Source organism: Homo sapiens, chromosome 17 (assembly GCF_000001405.40).
Source record: "Homo sapiens chromosome 17, GRCh38.p14 Primary Assembly".
In the NCBI taxonomy this organism is placed as follows: domain Eukaryota; kingdom Metazoa; phylum Chordata; class Mammalia; order Primates; family Hominidae; genus Homo; species Homo sapiens.
Window position 1 is genome coordinate 80,724,286 of NC_000017.11, and position 17,014 is coordinate 80,741,299.

Genomic DNA, 17,014 nt, shown 5'->3' on the forward strand with positions numbered 1-17,014 from the left:
GGCCATGAGTGCCAGGATGGAAGGGTCAGGAGAGAGGAGACATGGCAACCCACCCCTTCCTCATGTTTACTGCCTGGCATAGTTGGCATTTTTCTTTATGTTGAGGAAAATGCTGCTATGATCTGATTAGTAGGTGCTAAATACCCCAGTTTGTATAAAGTAGGATGGTATCTTTGCAGGGCTAATGAAATGGCCAAATCAGGTTTGGGTAAGGCCACCTGGAGATCCATGTCCTTCAGCTGATGGCAGTCTTCCTGTGTATCCCAGCTATCCACAGAGATGCTTGCGAGTTCTACCATCGCAACAGCGGCGAGGCCAGGTTCTCCCATCCCAACAGTGGTGAGGCCAGAAATTTCCAGGCTCATCACATCTACCTGCTCAGCCTGTGGTGGGTTGGAGTTGGGGTTGGGACACCCCACCTGCCCTTCCAGAGGGCGACTGTCTGCACCTGCCCAGTGTGCCCCCCGTTCCCTCCTCTGCAGTGTCAGAGCTGCTGTGCCTGGATCTGAGGAGGGGCCGTGGGAGAAGAAGCCGCCCCCACGACACTTGCGCTTGCCTTTTCAGCTGGAGCACGGGGTGGCGGCACCGTGTCGTTCTGCCCACCTCACCCACTGGGATGCAAACTTGCTGAGGCCAGGGCTTCTTCCTGCCATGCCTTGCCACCACGCCCCTTGCCTCCCCTGGGACATGCCGTTCTCTTCTTTGTACTCATCTGTTTGGTATGTGAGGGGTTTTGCGTTTTGTCTTCTGCTCTGTAATTTAAAGGGATAAAACGCTCACATTTAACTTAAGCCAAAACCCAGTTTCAGTCTTTCCACCAGAAATCCCTGAGATGTAGAATTGTGGGAAGCTCCTTGGAGGCTGGCGGGCTGCTGGGCTGCCCCTCTGTGGGAAGACAGCCTGCAGGCTTCAGTGGGCTGGGCTCTCCCGGCCATGGCTGCCTTGGTGGCTAACTCAGGCTGCGGCGACAGACTGGTGAGGCAGGCGGACTCTTCCCCTGATGTTTAATATAACCTGACAGATAAAGTGGATTGTAATGAAGAAATTATCTAAAACCCATTTCTATTTCTTTGTTTGAAAAGAAAACATGGCCTTGAATATGATTCTTGGAGAAAAAGAAGAGACGCTTTGATTAGGAATTATTCTCTGTACTTTTAGTTTTGGATCAAGAAGAAATGAAAACCATTGGCCACAAGCTCTTGAGTGTTCCAAGCAGCCTTCCGTGTATACAGGGGGCTTTTCAATTCTGGGCTGGTGTGGGTTGGTGCAGTCAGGATGACAGAGGAATATTCCACAGGACAACGAGGAGTGACTCTACTGTGGGCGTTGTTTCTGCCCCTGCAGCCGGGGCTGTGAGGCTGCAGGCTGCCCTTTGCTGGTTTGCAGGGGCCATAATTCTGGCCTGGAGCTTGACAAACGACCCAGGACCTCTGAGATGGGAAATGAGGTCTGCATCCCGTGTTCTAATCAGGATTCGCTATCAAAGGTCATTTTCCACACTGTGGCTTAATAGAGTTGGTTTTATATTCCCTGAGGGATACAGACTTCCAAATTGTTGCAGTCTCACTAACTGTAATGTATACAGCTCATGTTTGAAAGGAAATCGCCTCTCCTCCAAGGCAGCGGTTCTCAACCAGGGAAACTTTTCCCCTCAGGGGACACTGGGACATTTGGCAATGTCCAGCAACCTGGAGATTGTCACATCTAGGTGTGGGGGTGGCTGGGTGGTGCTGCGGAAGATTGTGTGGTGCACAGGGCAGCCCCACAAGGAGCGGCCCGGCCCCAAATGGCCCTGGTGCTGAGAGGGACAGACGCCGCTCACAGAGAAGCGACCACAGAGGCCCACATCCAAGCAGGCTTCCCAGAGCAGGCGGGGCTGGGAAAGCTGTTCTGTGGCGCAGCATCCCAGTGGCTGTTACGGGGTGAAAGCCCCTCTTAGAATTTAAAGTCCTAGAGCAGAGACCAACTGGGGCCATCCATGGCCCTGTGCCGTGCTGCCTCCTGGACGCACGCTAGGAGGTGGAGATGGTCCAGCCCCAGCAGGACTGGGCCACGAGGACCCTGCCGGTAACCTGGTGCTCGCCGCCCACAGATCACGGGGCGTGGAGGGAGAGACTGCCAGTGCTGTCCTAGTGCAGCAGTACCTCATGGTTATGACGGATCATCTTCCTGAACTTTGCATCTCAGAATTTAAAATGGAGATTTTGATTTTGATTTTGGCAAATGTGGAAAATAGATTTCAGCTCAAAAAGCAAGACCTGAGAACATGGTGTGTTAAAATATCTTTCATTTCATGCCACTTTGCAGCCCTGGGACCCTCGGGGTTGTACCTAGAAGGTAGTAAAGATGACAGCAGCCCCCGTTTCACTGATGGTGGCGCAGAGGACGTTGTGAGGTGGCTGTAGGGTCAGGTGGCTGTAGGGTCAGGGCTGGGCAAGTTGTATTCAGATGCTGTTCGCTAAGCCCAGAACATTATAGGAGGTAAATAAATAGCACGCAGTGTTCTGGGGGTAAAAAGATACACCCATGTCCCAGGCTGCTGCCAAAATCCTTTCTCCTGTCAGCGTGGGGGGTGATCCTGCCCAATTAAAGGACGTCTTTTGGCCCTTCTTTCCCTTGGCAGCAGCATGGAAGTGGGTGGGGGAGGAGAGGAGCATGCTTCCCCCAACCCCTGGGGACCTGTGAGCGCAGCCTGCAAGCTCCGGCTCCAGGAGGAAGCGTGCTCAAGTGCACCTCTGACCACGTCACGCTGCGAGAACGTGGGCGCTACACCTCCGACCACATCGTGCTCCGAGAACGTGGACGCTGCACCTCTGACCACGTCACGCTCCGAGAACATGGACGCTGCACCTCTGACCACTTCCTGCTCCGAGAACGTGAACTCTGCACCTCTGACCACGTCACGCCCCGAGAACGTGGACACTGCACCTCTGACCACATCATGCTCCGAGAACGTGGACGCTGCACCTCTGACCACATCATGCTCCGAGAACGTGGACGCTGCACCTCTGACCGCATCATGCTCCGAGAACGTGGACGCTGCACCTCTGATCATGTCACACTCCAAGATCATGGACATTGCACTTCTGATCATGTCATGCTCTGAGAACATGGACGCTGCACCTCTGATCATGTCACGCTTCAAGAACGTGAACACTGCACCTCTGACCACGTCACGCCCCGAGAACGTGGACGCTGCACCTCTGACCACATCATGCTCTGAGAACGTGGACGCTGCACCTCTGATCATGTCACACTCCAAGATCATGGACATTGCACTTCTGATCATGTCATGCTCCAAGAACGTGGACGCTGCACCTCTGACCATGTCGCGCTGGCCAGAATTTGGCTGCAGGACAGACTTCACTGGAAAGGAAACTGGGCCATGTGCTCAGCTACAACTGCTTTAGAAGAGAGAGAAAATCAGATATTAGCCTAGCAGTCTCTACCACACTGGCATTTAGATAATTTTCAGCTTTTTTTTTTACCAGTCAAAACATCTCATGTACAAATGCAAGTATTTCTATAGGATGGATATCTAGAAGTAGTCAGAAGGAATGTGCCTTTAAAATTTTTGTTAAGTACTTCCCAATTGCCTTCCATACAAGCTTCATTAATTTACATTCCCACCATTGATGGATGAGTGCCCTGCATCCTCCCACAATGGGGCATTATTCACATTTTATCCTGCTTTCCACTTTGCTGAATAAAAACAGAATGGATGAATGAATGGATGGGCGGATGGATGGATGGATGAATGGATGGATGGATCGATAGGTAGATAGATAGATTCTCATTGTAATTTGCATTTCTAATAAAGAGCATGAAACTTAGAATCATTTTTGATTCATTTTTCTTCTGTGAATTGCCTGTTTGTATGTTTTGCCTGTTTGTTTTCGTTTTGTCCCTTGTTGATCTGCAGCAGAAGTTTATATAGACACATCTAAAAAATTCTCTGTCATGTACTGTGTACCTCCTTTCTTCTAAAATTGCTAGTCATTGATATGTCTTTATTAGAATTATAGATTTTTTTATCTTACTGTATCAGTCAGTCTCAAGACTTATTAGGTTTTGTGACTTGCTTAATTAAGGCCTTTCATATGCCAAAATAAATGAAAATTTTCCTGTGCTTTTACATTTAGGTTTTCAGTCCACTCTGGGGTGTGTGTGTGTGTGTGTGTGTGTGTAATCTCAGATAGCAAAATACCAAATGGCTGGTTAGAGTTTCCAGCATCAGTTATTGAATTGTTAATTCCTTCTTTGCAGATTTAAAATGCTGTCCTCATTAGAGTTACGTATGTGGGTCTATTTCTGGACTCTCTCTTTTCTGTTGATTTGTTTGTCTCCCTCACTAATACCATCCTGTAATTACCATAGATTTATAGTATCTTTAATATCTGGCAGTGTGAGTCCCTATTCATTATTCTTTATTAATTTTTTTTTGCTCTTGTGCTTTTTTTTTTCTCTGTACTATATAATCATCTTGTTAAATTCCGTGAATGGAAAAAACCCAGAAGGTATTTTGATTAGGCTTGGACTGACTTTCTGGATTCATTAGGCAAGAATTGACATCTCTAGATCCTTCAGTGGGTTTATTTACAGAGAGCATTTCCAGGTGTTCTATTATAGAGCAGTGATTATAAACAGTCCACCAAACGCGGACAGTTTTAACAACATGTTTGGCAGAGCACAGGTAGAATGGGGTCCTGCCCACGATGATGTACGTGTCTCCACACACCCCCCACACATCTGCGTCGTTGGTATACTGTATCATCATGTCTGAGATATAACTTACGTCTGAGATGTAGCTGATGTCTGAAATGTAACTTTTGTCTGCTTCTTTGCTGTGCACGGACAAAGCTTCTGCAGGCTTCCTGCACGCCATACTTCCCCAGGCTTTGCTGGATCTGGCCTTCTGTCCCTTTCCTCTTGAGTTATAAACAATCCTGTAGGCAGTACCAGCGGCAGGATATGTGGCTTAGCTGCTAAGAAATAAACTCACTTTTACTGTGACTTTGATTTTTGCCAATTTCTGGGAATTTGATTTCTGCCACAGCTTCACTACTTACACTCTTGATGTCCAAGGAAAGGTAAATAATGAACGTGTTCTGTGGAGAAGAATTCCTTAAAAATGTTAGCTTTGCGTTCGGATTGTAAGTGTTTCTCAAGTGAGATGAGAACATTCTCCTCTGCATTTACCAGAATCACTAGTGTCTGTTCAGGCGCTGAACAGTATGGTGTGTTCTGAAAAATGTTTCACTCAGCAGATTAGTGTTACTAGGTTATTGTTCTGTGACTGAAATAAATTTATACAGCCAAACCCACTTATACCCCTTAAGTATGATCTTTCAAAAGTCATCTCAATGACAAAGTGCTTATGGACCTCTCTGAAATTAAAGGGACAGTGGCATGCAAATTTGAGGACCCGGCCAACTCTTAGAGCTCCCCTCCCTTGTAAATGATGTGTGTGTTGTGTTATATAAACCCAGAGATGTGACAGAGTTAAAGGACAAATGGAGACACGGAGTGAAGAGCACGTGTGTGAGACAGCTGTGGGTCCATGGAGGGAGGCCCCGCGGCGGGAACTGAGGCAGCCATGGGGTACATGAGGGAAGCCCCACAGTGGGAACTGAGACAGCTCTGGTTCCATGGAGGGAGGTCCCGCAGTGAAAACTGAGACAAGTTTAAGGAGTTGACCAGCAGCTGAACCCAGCGGCAGCTGCGGAGGAGCCTGGGGCTAGGGATGATGACTTTGGCAGCCACCTGGTGTGGGCGCTACTGGAGTAAAGCAGCATCAGAGGAGATGTGGAGAAATTCAGTTTGATGGTTTTTGTTTTTTGAGACTGAGTCTCGCTCTGTTGCCCAGGCTGGAGTGCAGTGGCGCAATCTTGGCTCACTGTAACCTTCGCCTCCCGGGTTCAGGTGATTCTCCTGCCTCAGCCTCCCAAGTAGCTGGGTTTACAGGTGCCCTTCACCATGTCTGGCTAATTTTGTATTTTTAGTAGAGACTGGGTTTTACCATGTTGGCCAGGCTGGTCTTGAACTCCTGACCTCAGGTGATCCACCCATCTCAGCCTCCCAAAGTGCTGAGATTCAGGTGTGAGCCATTGCGCCTGGCCAGTTTGCTGTTTTTTATAGTTTTGTATAAAGGCTAACTCAGCGTCTCTCCAGCCACCAGGCTCAATGTGTGTGCCTTTTGTAACGGTGCAGTACTCACCAGCAGCCCATATTCCTGAGACGCACATGTAACGAGCGCACTTTGTGTGTTTTCTAGAACTACACGCAGTACATCCCTCTGTCCATATATGACCTGCAGACGTGGATGGGCAGCCCGTCGATCTTCGTCTACGACTGCTCCAATGCTGGCTTGATCGTCAAGTCCTTCAAGCAGTTCGCACTACAGCGGGAGCAGGAGCTGGAGGTGAGCGCTCTGGTGCTTGGAGAGCGGTGCTGGGTTTGGTTTTGTTTTCCCTGGGGGTGGGGTTTGGGTGGGGAGGTTGGGAGGTGTTGGACATCCTCTGAATGGAGCAGGGCTCAGAATGCCAAGGGCAGGATGGCATATTCAATGCTGTTGAGCTAGGGAGGCACTCAGCACACTTTATTTTTGAAACATAATCTTGTTCTGTTGCCCAGGCTGGAGTGCTGTGGTGCCGTCTCCAGTCACTGCAATGTCTGTCACCTGAGCCCAAGCAATCTTCCCTTCTCAGCCTCCTGAGTAGCTGAGACTACAGGTGCACGCCACGCCACCATGCCTAGCTAATTTTTGTAGTTTTTGTAGAGGTGGTGTTTCGCCATGTTTCTCAGCCTGGTCTCAAACTCCTGGGCTCAAGCAACGCGTGTGCCTCAGCCTGCAAAGTTCTGGGATTACAGGCTTGAGCACTGAGCCCGGCCCAGTACAAACCTACAGACTTATTTTTACATCTCATTTTACTCAGTGTCATTTTTAATCCAAACATTAATTGATAACATTCATAGGGTCGATTTGTGCCCCAGCAGTCTCTGCCTCCAAGATAAATGTGAAAATAAAGCAGACACATTTATTTTAGGAGAAATGGACCCACAGCTTCAGTTCCACCAGTGCCTTTGTTCCTGCCCCGGTTTCTTTTTCTGTTGTGTTAAAAAAAAAAAAATCCCCGAAAACCACTAAGCTAAAATGATAGAAAACAAACGAAAACAGCTACTGTTGTAGCGCCCACTTCAAAAAGCGGAAAGCCTGTGCACCGCTCTGCTAATGAAGAGACATTTTGCTTGGTTGTTTTAATTAATATTTGATGTTTGAATTAAACAGTGAATTCTGAGGACAAATTGAAGAGGCAGTTTCGATTAAGAGGCCTCCATCTTGTGGCCTGCACAAGAGTGTCAGAATGAAATATTCTGCAGCCTCAAGGGGGTCATGAGTTCTACTGGTTGCAGTATAGGAAATTCTCAATTTAGGAGCAAAAATGATCTTGAGTATGTTTCCTCAAGCCTTTTTGAATATATTCAATTTTAATGTATTATGTTTTCACATTTCATCATAGAAAAATGCTGAAACAATCAGTAACAAAATTTGAAATTCTGTTTGGTAGATTTTCACATTAACATGTGTACAGTTGAATATTTTATAATTATTAATTCTTTATGTGGAACACCGCAAAAGAGTGACTGATAAGTATAATGTGGTTTATCCATGAAAAAGGATCCACATGCAACAAGTTTGTTTGTTTTGTTTTCTATGATAAGGGAAAGAAAGATCAAGGTTTGTATCATCAGATTTTTCCCTTGCTTTCAGGCATTTCATCTTGGTTTACCCAGGGGATAGGTTATCTAATGAGCATTAAGAAACTCAAAGCATTGAGAGGTAATTTATTTTTCCTTGCATCAAGTAATAAATATCGCAAAAAAAAGGTGATTTTTTTACATTTATAATATGTAAATAAAAATGCCAAAGAATCCTGCCTGAGTTCTACACCAGATTTATGGGCTGGAGAGTGGTTAAGGGAAAGACCAATACATCAGCCTCAGTTAATTAAAACATGTTAAATAGAGACCCGCTCCCCTTTCAGCAGAAGACCAGCACCTCCAGCTCATGCATAATACCAAATGCTTGCATTCCAGCGCTTTGAGCATGTGCTCCGGCAGTGCTGTGTGTGCTCTCTGTGTGTTGCCAGGGATTAATCAGCCTAAGACACTGTTCATTTCATCAAGTGTAACAGAAAAGATTCCCATGCATCTTTTTTAGGAAAAAAAAATGTTTGACTCATTCCACATGAAAGAGATCAGATGAAAAATATGTTAACTGAGTTGGCGAATAGATGGCAAGGCAATGCGATACCGTATGTCTTTAATTAGCTCTGATTTTTATCTTCGTTCTTTAATTACAATGTAGATCAGTCTTGTGTGTTTCTATTACACTTACTATTATTGGCTATTGTTCACTTGGTCTCTTATAAAAACAGTGGAAATTAAAATGATAAAATTAGCTCCTAGCTAATAGCTTAATGTTCATTTTAGTAATTTCACTATCTGCTAGAGAAACAGCAATCCTGTGTAGCCTGTTAGGGTTTTTCTTTTAAAATATTCTTTGCCTCTTTACAGCTGGTCAAATTCTTTGTAAATTTACAATATGTTTTAATACTTTTTATTGTATAACATGTGAGCTGAAAGAAATTGACAGGTGAATGATTTGTTCCAGGGTTTAAAAAATAAACAATTGATTAAATATAATGCAAGAAAATGGTTATTTGGACCAGAAAGCCTCCAAATAATAAACATTAACACAAATATGAGTGACATAAATTTTAAGAGATGGTGATCAGCTTTCATATTCTTAGTGGCACAGTGCTTGTCCTGGGACCAGGAGGTTTATTTATTGTTTACTTCTCTCTCAGAGGAGTGCTGTAGGTAGAGTAGAAGACGACTTCATCAAAGCACAGATACAGTATTGCACACACTTCAAACCATCAGAGCCGGAAAATGACATATCTGTCACTCAGTAATCCTTCTTATATTTTTATTGTGTCATATTTCTTTGTAATTTAAAAATTAAGGATAATATTCAAGTCTCTCCGCTTTCAGTCTTCTTTTATAAATAAGTATATTTTACCAAATTAGTATATGCCATGGTTTGAAAAATCAAATAATACAGAAGGTTTATGATGAATAAAGTAGTCCCTGGCCCCACGCTTTCTCTGCTGAGACTCTATGACCAAAGGCACCTCCTTCCCCTGTTTCCATTTCTAGTTCTTCTGGAGGGTGTCTCCTTCCCTGTAGATGACATGCTGAGACCACTGCTTCTTGATTTGTCGTTTTTAGATTATCAGTGGGCTTTGTCTTAGGGTACAAACCAAGAACAGAGCTGCCATTAAGTTCTGTTTAAAGAAGGGAGAAACGATGTGGAAGCCTGTTAGCAAAGAAGTCAATTATGTGTAGATTACATGCTGGTTTAAATTCCTATGTGTTATTTGTATTCAGTAGTGAATTCTAAAGAGAAAATTCTAGATTGAAGAGGCTGCGTCACTCACGACGCCTTCTTGCGTTCCCTCTTATTCACTCTATTGGGTTTCTTTATACTTTGTAAACTTTGTGGTTTCAAGTAATATCCTTATGCTTTTATTTCTAGTTTTATCAGTAATAGCTCATTTCTTCCATTTTCAAGGCTCTTAGCTTCCTTGTACTTTCTTCTGCCTTTTTTCTTTTACAGCTTCTGTTATCTGCACTTTCTGTGATTGTCTTTCGTTCTCTGACCACGATTAACACCTCTGTGCTTGAGTGGAGATTGATTCTATAGGAAGACAAGCATTAAACCTTGTACCTGATTATGACCACATAAATATTGCTCGCTCAGTGGCTAGAGTACTGTGATTTCCATTTTTATAACTGTTTTCGTTTGTTTGCTTTTCCTGGACATTTCCTCTTTTCTTCTTGAATTACCTATCGTTACCACTTCCTCCACTGATAGATCCACAAGGAGAGCGGAGAGCACAGAAGGCGCCCTCTCCCCTCACATCTTCCAAGCTCTCCTGCCTCGCTCAGCCGATCGTGCCTGTGGCCTGCTCCCCGGCGTCAGCTGGCTCCCCTTTGTAATTCTCCAGGATCCGTCCCTGTGTCTAGATCCCACTTCTTCCCCTCTCTCGATTTTCTCCTTTGTTCTCCTAGGGGAAATCCTCAAGCACTGCCCTAAGAAAGGATGTTTGGCAGTCTGAGACCATCAGTATTTGAAGCAGTGGAAGTAATGAAAAATCTCATTACTGGGTTTTAATCAAATAGCAGTTTGTCTTTTTCACTAATAAGGTCTCTGAGGCAAATGATGACTTTTCAGCAGTGCCACTGGGGACCAGGCATCCTTAGCCGACTGGCTTTATCCTCATGTTTGCAATATGCCCACCACATCTGCAGGTGTTTCATCTGCTTGGGAGGCAGGAGGAAATGGGGAAGGGGCAGTGCTGGCCACAGCTGTCTCTTTATAAGGAAGAACAGCCCGCCCTCTGTATCTGTGGCTTCCACATCCTTGGAGTCAACTAACTGTGGCTCCAAGACATTCGGGGAAAAAAAATTGCATTGTACTGGACATGTACACTTCTTCTCACCATTGTTCCCTAAACAATATAGTATAACAACTACGTTTACAGCATTCACATGGTAGTAGATGTTATAAGTAGAGATGATTTGAAGCACACCAAAGTCTGTGTGTGGGTTATATGCAAGCACCACACCATTTTATATCTGTGCATTGGCAGATTTTGGCATCCATGGGGGTCTAGGAACCAATGCCCTGTGGATATTGAGGGATGACTGCAACAAGCAGACTTCGCTTTAGACCGAGTTGGCCAGAGCCAGGTCACGTAGCACCCCAGGTGTGGTTGAGGGGTGACTAAAGGGAGTGGACTTGGGGGTGGCTGTGAGATGATCCAATGAGGACCATCAGCCACATTACCTGGGTAATGTCATCATTCTAACCACATCCATTATCGATAGTGTAGATATGGAATTTTAGGCAATTTTCACTCTTCCAGTGGTAGCCCTGTTACTCCTTGCAGTGGATGAGTAGATGTTCTTGATAAGTCTGCCACCTCCATCCAGATAAATGCCATAAGAGGAATATTTATAGTCATCGTACACAGTATATGTATTGACTGAGTTGGAGAGAGAGAAAAAAAGAGAATTCAAATGTTTTTTAACAACTTTTATCTGGATACTAAATCCTTAGCCTGTAAACTAGAAAGGAAGGTGAAGTCTTAAAGAAACAGATGCTCTTGGAAACGGAGCCCATGAAGTCTTGTCCGTCAGTTTCTTCTAGAGGATATTTCTCAAGGGCAGTCACAGCTCACCGTCACTGAAGACGGCAGTCAAGCCCGGAGTCAAATCTAGGCGAGTTTCTCCTCTTTTTAATGGGAGGCCAGTAGCGAGTTGGGCAGGCGGTAAAGATAATAATGCCTTTCTTCTGCTGGGACAGCACGGGCTCCACTGCCCCAGTAAGTCTTGTTCTGCACATAGCCATCTGCTTTTGGTTTAGGGCTGGAGCATAGGCAAGTTTTTGGTGGGAGCCATGGAAATAGCCTGAGAATGACTTCCTGGAGAGCAGGTTGCTGTGTGTCAGAAGAGTCTTGTATGAAAGTTCAGCCCTGGCCGGTGCGGTGGCTCACGCCTGTAATCCCAGCACTTTGGAAGGCCAAGGTGGGCAGATGGCTTGAGTTCAGGAGTTCAAGACCAGCCTGGGCAGCATAGCGAAACCCCATCTCTACAAAAAATACAAAAGTTAGCCAGCTGTAGTGGCACGCATGTGTCATCCCAGCTACTCTGGAGACCAAGGTGGAAGGGTCGCTTGAGCTCAGAGCTGGAGGCTGCAGTGAGCCGTGATTGTGCCACTGCACCTCAGCCTAGGCAATAGAGTGAGACCCCATCTCTTAAAAAAAAAAAAAGTTCAGCCCATGGATCATGGGCACAATTCACTTCTCCACTATTCCCCCGCACTCTGCAAGGCTTTTCTCAGGATGCTTCCGAGTAACTCGTGTTTGTGTGGTGTCTCTAAACACAATTGTGTGGTCCAGTCCTGCCACCTGTAGCAGTACACTCCCAAAGCACAGAAACCTGTCCGACGGTCACTCACTGCCACAGCGAGAAGCTTGCTTGGGTCCACAGCCTCCCCAAGGCTGCAGTGACTTAACCGCCCCCCGCCCCTACCAATGTGAAAACCTATACTTAAACTGATAGGTGATACATTGGCCTCCTGCACTGATCCCCGTAGCTAAATTTTATGTCAAATAAATATTGTAATTCTGCCAAAAATGACTAACGTCTAGAATCTTCAAGTTTCCTCAAAAATATTAAATGCATATCTCACAGATCTAAAGTACTCATGTTCTGAAATCTTCTTCATTTCTTTGCTACTCTTGTAGACAGGCACACTGCTTGGCTGGCATGGAATTCTGCAGCAAAAGGCAGTTCTCCTGCTGAAGGTTGTGGTTGTAGTGATTGCTGAATACCATCAGTTAGTTCTTTGGGTACCTCTCAACAGGTGTGTTTCTTAATCACTGTTTCCTAAATTGGAATTTGTGTGTGTGAGTTTGCAAATCTTCTCCACGGACTCACCGTCGTCATGGCATTTGTGATTCAGAGGAGGGATCTGCGGTGCCGATTCCACAGGAGCTCAGGCTCGCCTGTATTTCTCTTTCAAGCAATGATTTTCATAAGTGCTTTCCCCTGTAATCTCATAGTTTTGTCATTTGTAGGCAGTAGGGACGTGAGCTGACATGTGTTAGGTCACAACTTTATTAATTTTCAAGTGATATTAATTTTTAGGTTTGAAGAAGATGCTTTCCCCTTTTCTAAGTTGTCTCTGTTTCCTCCAGCATAATTTTTTTTCCTTTGGTTAATTTAGATTATTCTCTGTCATACTGGAGGTATGTGGTGATTTTATTGTTTGTCATATTTAAGAATGAAGAGAAGCTGCCCATCACTGCGTGTCTGTGACAGGAGGCGTTGGCTAGAGGGCCTTGCTCGATGGGAAGTAGGGGGCGCTGGCTGCTGCGCTGGGGACTCATGGATGCCCCCATGCCGAGGTCTTTATTTCTCTGGGCTCTAAATGACTACACCAGCTGCCTTTAATTTTCCCCAGATATGTCAGTAACTCTCTTTAGAGGAAAAAAACCCACCACCAGCCTGAGTGCTTTCCGGCAGGGGGGCGGTGGTGGAGGATCATTGCAGAACACCTGGCTTCAGGCACACAGGTGAGACGCCGGCTGTCCTGATGGCAGGTCTTCAGGTAATCTGTGCCTTCCAGCCCGCACCACTCCAGGCTTGGGCATGGGGGCTGCCTTCCACTTCCCTTCTCTGCATGTGCTCTGGACACTTTCAGTTCCTCTTTTTTAACAAAAGTTGGCCAAAGTCAGTTTTGCGTACCTTATACTTTATTTATAGTAAGCTGTAAGAACCCATACTTGTGAAGGTTTTCAAAACATTAGAATATCTGCTCCCTGGTGTTAAGAAATGTGTAATATAGTTGAAGCACATATATTCATTCTTTCTCTCTCTTTTTCTCCCCCGCCCCCCCGCCACACTCACTCCACCACCACCACAATGACCAAGGAGAAGTGCATTTTTCATTTAGCAGAAATGCTGCCATTTCCACTGTCTATAGCAGAAGGGGAGTTCGTCCAAAACATACAGTAGAAACCCCTTTAATTGGAATCCACAGAACGGCCATCCCCAAAGCCCCGCTGGGGAGAATGAAGCCACTGTGAGAGGTTAAGAGGGTGGGGGGGCAGGGCTGGCCCTTGGAGTGGGCTGGCGAGCTGACTTGCCAACCAGAAAGGAAATAGGTCACGGGAGAAATGGGGGGAAACACAGGCCCATGGAGGATGAGGTCCACGCCTGCCAGTGGGTGCTGGGAGGGCAGCCCCAGGGGGAGCAGGCAGCAGGAGATGCCCAGCCCGGCCCCGTGTACCTGGCAGGCCTCAGCCTGTGGACACCCTCGCCTTTGGTTTGTGTGACATTTCACAGTTGGTGGGACATTTGTGCCGTTTCATCCATCTTTAGTCTGCGCAGCTGAGCTGAATGTGGCCGCCAAAGCTTTTGCTGCTTCTCTGTGCCCATGCACCATCCCTTTCTGTGGTTTGCACGGGGAGATAAAGGTCTTTTTTGTTGGCACCTTTCGTAACTCCGAGTCCTAGAATTTGGAGGCTTCAGTAAAAAGAAAAGTGATTTCTCTGCATAAAAAATTTAAGAACCCTTACCGCTGATGACCTTAAATGAATTTCACAGACACGTGTCATTAGCACAGGCAGCTTCCAGGGTGCAACTGAAGTTCCCCTTTCTTCACAAATGCTTCCCCCAGCCTGAAATCTTCCTTGGCTGACCACATACGGCAATCTCCTACACAGCGGCCTTGACAATCATGTGTTGTCTTGTAGCCTCTCTTCTACTGTCATAAGCTTACTTTACATTTGTTATGTAAACCTGTCAAGAATGCCTCACGTTAAATTGATGCTCAGGAAGGATCTATAGATTTGGCTTGATAAATACATATTTGAATAAACTACCTTTAGTTGTCTTCTTTAGATGTATCCATGATGCATTAAATATATTTGATCTTCAATTGATTTGTATGAAATGTGAGAAGAAACAAAGAAAACTTGATTAGCCATAATTCATGAAAACGATACACTGTTTGCAGTTGTCATAAAACTGGGAGCTTTCCCAAAAATTCTTAGAGTTTAACCTTTTTTTTGTTTCTAATTTCATCTATTTTAAAGTATTGTCTGAAATTGCTTGATATTCTGGACCACAGATGATGGCCAGCACCATGGGTTGCAGACTGGGGCACTGTGATCCCAGCAGGACCCATCTGCCTGGCCCTGCTTGCTGTCGCGGGAACACCTCTGCCGCCACCACGGAGGCCGAGGGGCTCGCCCCGCCCCGACGCGGAGGCAGATGTCTTTCACAAAGGATCCTGGTGGCACAGGGCAGTGGAGTTTCTGGCTGAAGGTGGAGCCTCATGAGAGGAGAGGGGCAAGTGGGAAGTAAGTGCTTTCACTGAACACTGAGGTCAGAAACACGGAAGAGGTGTTCATTCTCACCCATCCTCTCCAGCATCACACGATAAGTCCGTCTGCGCAGAAGGCAAGGGCAGGAAACAGGCATAGAGATCAGAAAAGAAGTTAGGCCATCTTTTCTTGAAGTGATCACCTGTGTTGAAGTGTCAGCTGTTAAGTATCACAGTGGGATTTACAGGATACTCCCTCCAGCAGCAGCCAATACACACACTTTTCCAGCGTCCATGCGGCATTCATCAAGGTCGGTCACATCCTGGGTCATAAAATAAACCTCAACAAGTTTTAAACAGCACAGCGTGTGTTCTTTAACCACAAGAGAATCAGCTACACGTCAATAAACACGAGAAAAAACTGTGAAAAAAATTAAACAACGTATTTCTAAATAATGGGTCAGAAGCCTCAAGGGAAATTAAAAAAAAATACATAGAGTTAGATGAAAATGAATATACAACATATCTGTATTTATAGGATGCAGATAAATCAGTATTGAAAGAGAAATTTATAGCACTAAAATCTTATGTTAGAAAAGAGGAAAGATGACAAATTATTGATATAAATTCCTACTTCAAGAAATTGGAAGAGTAAAATAAACTGAAAGCAGTCAGAAGAAAGGAAATAATAACAGAAATCATTAAAATTGAAAACAGAAAAACAATGGAGAAATATTAAAAGCTGATTCTCAGAAAAAAAATCAATAAAATGGATACATTCCTAGCAATACTAACAAAATAGAAAAATCAAGAGGGAGATGGAAAAACCTCTACAGATCCTGCAGCCATTTAAATAATAATGAACAACTTTACACTCTTAAATTCAGCAACTGAGAGGAAATGGACCAATTCCTCGAAAACCCCCAGCTACCAAAATCCAACCAATTGAATATTCTGAGTATTATCTGTTCAGCAATAGATAATCTGAATAGTCATAGAATCATGAAAGAAATTGAATTTGTCATTTAAAATTGTCTGAAACATAAATCTGCAGGCATACATGGTTTCACTGGAGACTATTGCCAAATATTTAAAAAGAAGAAGCAGAACACCGGTTTTGTACAAGCTCTTCCAGAAGATAGAAGGGTTGGGAACACATTTCAACTCATTTTATGAGGCCATTATTATCCTAATGCCAAAACCAGACACACCGTTCAAAAAAAATAAAAAACAGCAAACCAATATCTGTCACAAACTTAGATGCCAAAATCCTCAAAACAATAATAGCAAATCAGTTCTAGCAATTTATAAAAGGAATTATACGCTGTGACTTAGTGAGTTTTTTTACGGGTGTAGAAGTCTAGTTCAATGTTTAAAAATTAATTAATGTACTTCATACCAACAGACTAAAGATGAAAAATCATACGATTTTACCAATTGATGCAGAAAACTCTTTCATGCGAGAGAAAACAAACAAAAAAAAAACTTTCAGTGAACTAAGAATAGAGAAGAACTTCAATTTGATTTTTTAAAAAATCTGTAAAAACCTAACAGCCGTCCTTTTACTTACTGGTAAAAGACTGAATGTTTCCCCCTTAAGATTGGAAGCAAGGCAAGGATATCCATTCTTATCACTGTTATTCAACAGAAGTACTGGAAGTTCTAGCCAGTGCAATAAGACAAGAAAAAGACATCATTGGTTATCAGGGAAACGCAAATCAAAACTACAGTGAGGTGCTACCTCGCGCCACTAGGGTGGCAGCAATAAAACAGATGGGTAATAACAAGTGTTGACGAGGATGTGGAGAGATTGGAATCCTTGCACACTGCTGGTGGGAATGTAAAATGGTACGGCTGCTTCAGAAGATAGTCTGGCAAGGTTCTCAAGATGTGAAACTGAGGGTCTCCCCGTGACCCAGCAGGAGAGTGGCATGCACTCTAGAATAGCGCTTGGCCCACACTGGGCACTCAGCTGACCCCTGCTGGCTTGGCTAATGAGCAGAGTAAAAACACTCCTCCCTGGCAGTGTGGGGGCCTTCCGAGTGGAGGGTG

The 17,014-nt window shown here is 44.8% G+C and overlaps 1 protein-coding gene across 2 annotated transcripts in view, besides 3 other annotated features; it reads left to right on the forward strand.

The window, feature by feature from the left end:
* RPTOR (regulatory associated protein of MTOR complex 1) overlaps positions 1 to 17,014 on the forward strand; it is a 421,531-nt gene that overhangs the window by 179,448 nt on the left and 225,069 nt on the right. For both annotated transcript variants that reach the window (NM_020761.3, NM_001163034.2), the window contains exon 5: positions 6,275 to 6,421. In NM_020761.3, coding sequence (NP_065812.1) covers positions 6,275 to 6,421 — 147 coding nt within the window. The remainder of the gene's footprint in view (positions 1 to 6,274; positions 6,422 to 17,014) is intronic.
* Positions 1,487 to 2,447: an enhancer, noted in NCBI's record as "H3K4me1 hESC enhancer chr17:78699572-78700532 (GRCh37/hg19 assembly coordinates)". NCBI's record gives its function as "activates a minimal SCP1, AML or CMV promoter by ChIP-STARR-seq in naive H9 embryonic stem cells {active_cell/tissue: H9 hESC(naive)}" and the evidence as "EXISTENCE:reporter gene assay evidence [ECO:0000049][PMID:30033119]".
* Positions 13,110 to 13,159: an enhancer, noted in NCBI's record as "active region_12940". NCBI's record gives its function as "activates an Ori minimal core promoter by ATAC-STARR-seq in GM12878 lymphoblastoid cells {active_cell/tissue: GM12878}" and the evidence as "EXISTENCE:reporter gene assay evidence [ECO:0000049][PMID:35858748]".
* Positions 13,210 to 13,259: an enhancer, noted in NCBI's record as "active region_12941". NCBI's record gives its function as "activates an Ori minimal core promoter by ATAC-STARR-seq in GM12878 lymphoblastoid cells {active_cell/tissue: GM12878}" and the evidence as "EXISTENCE:reporter gene assay evidence [ECO:0000049][PMID:35858748]".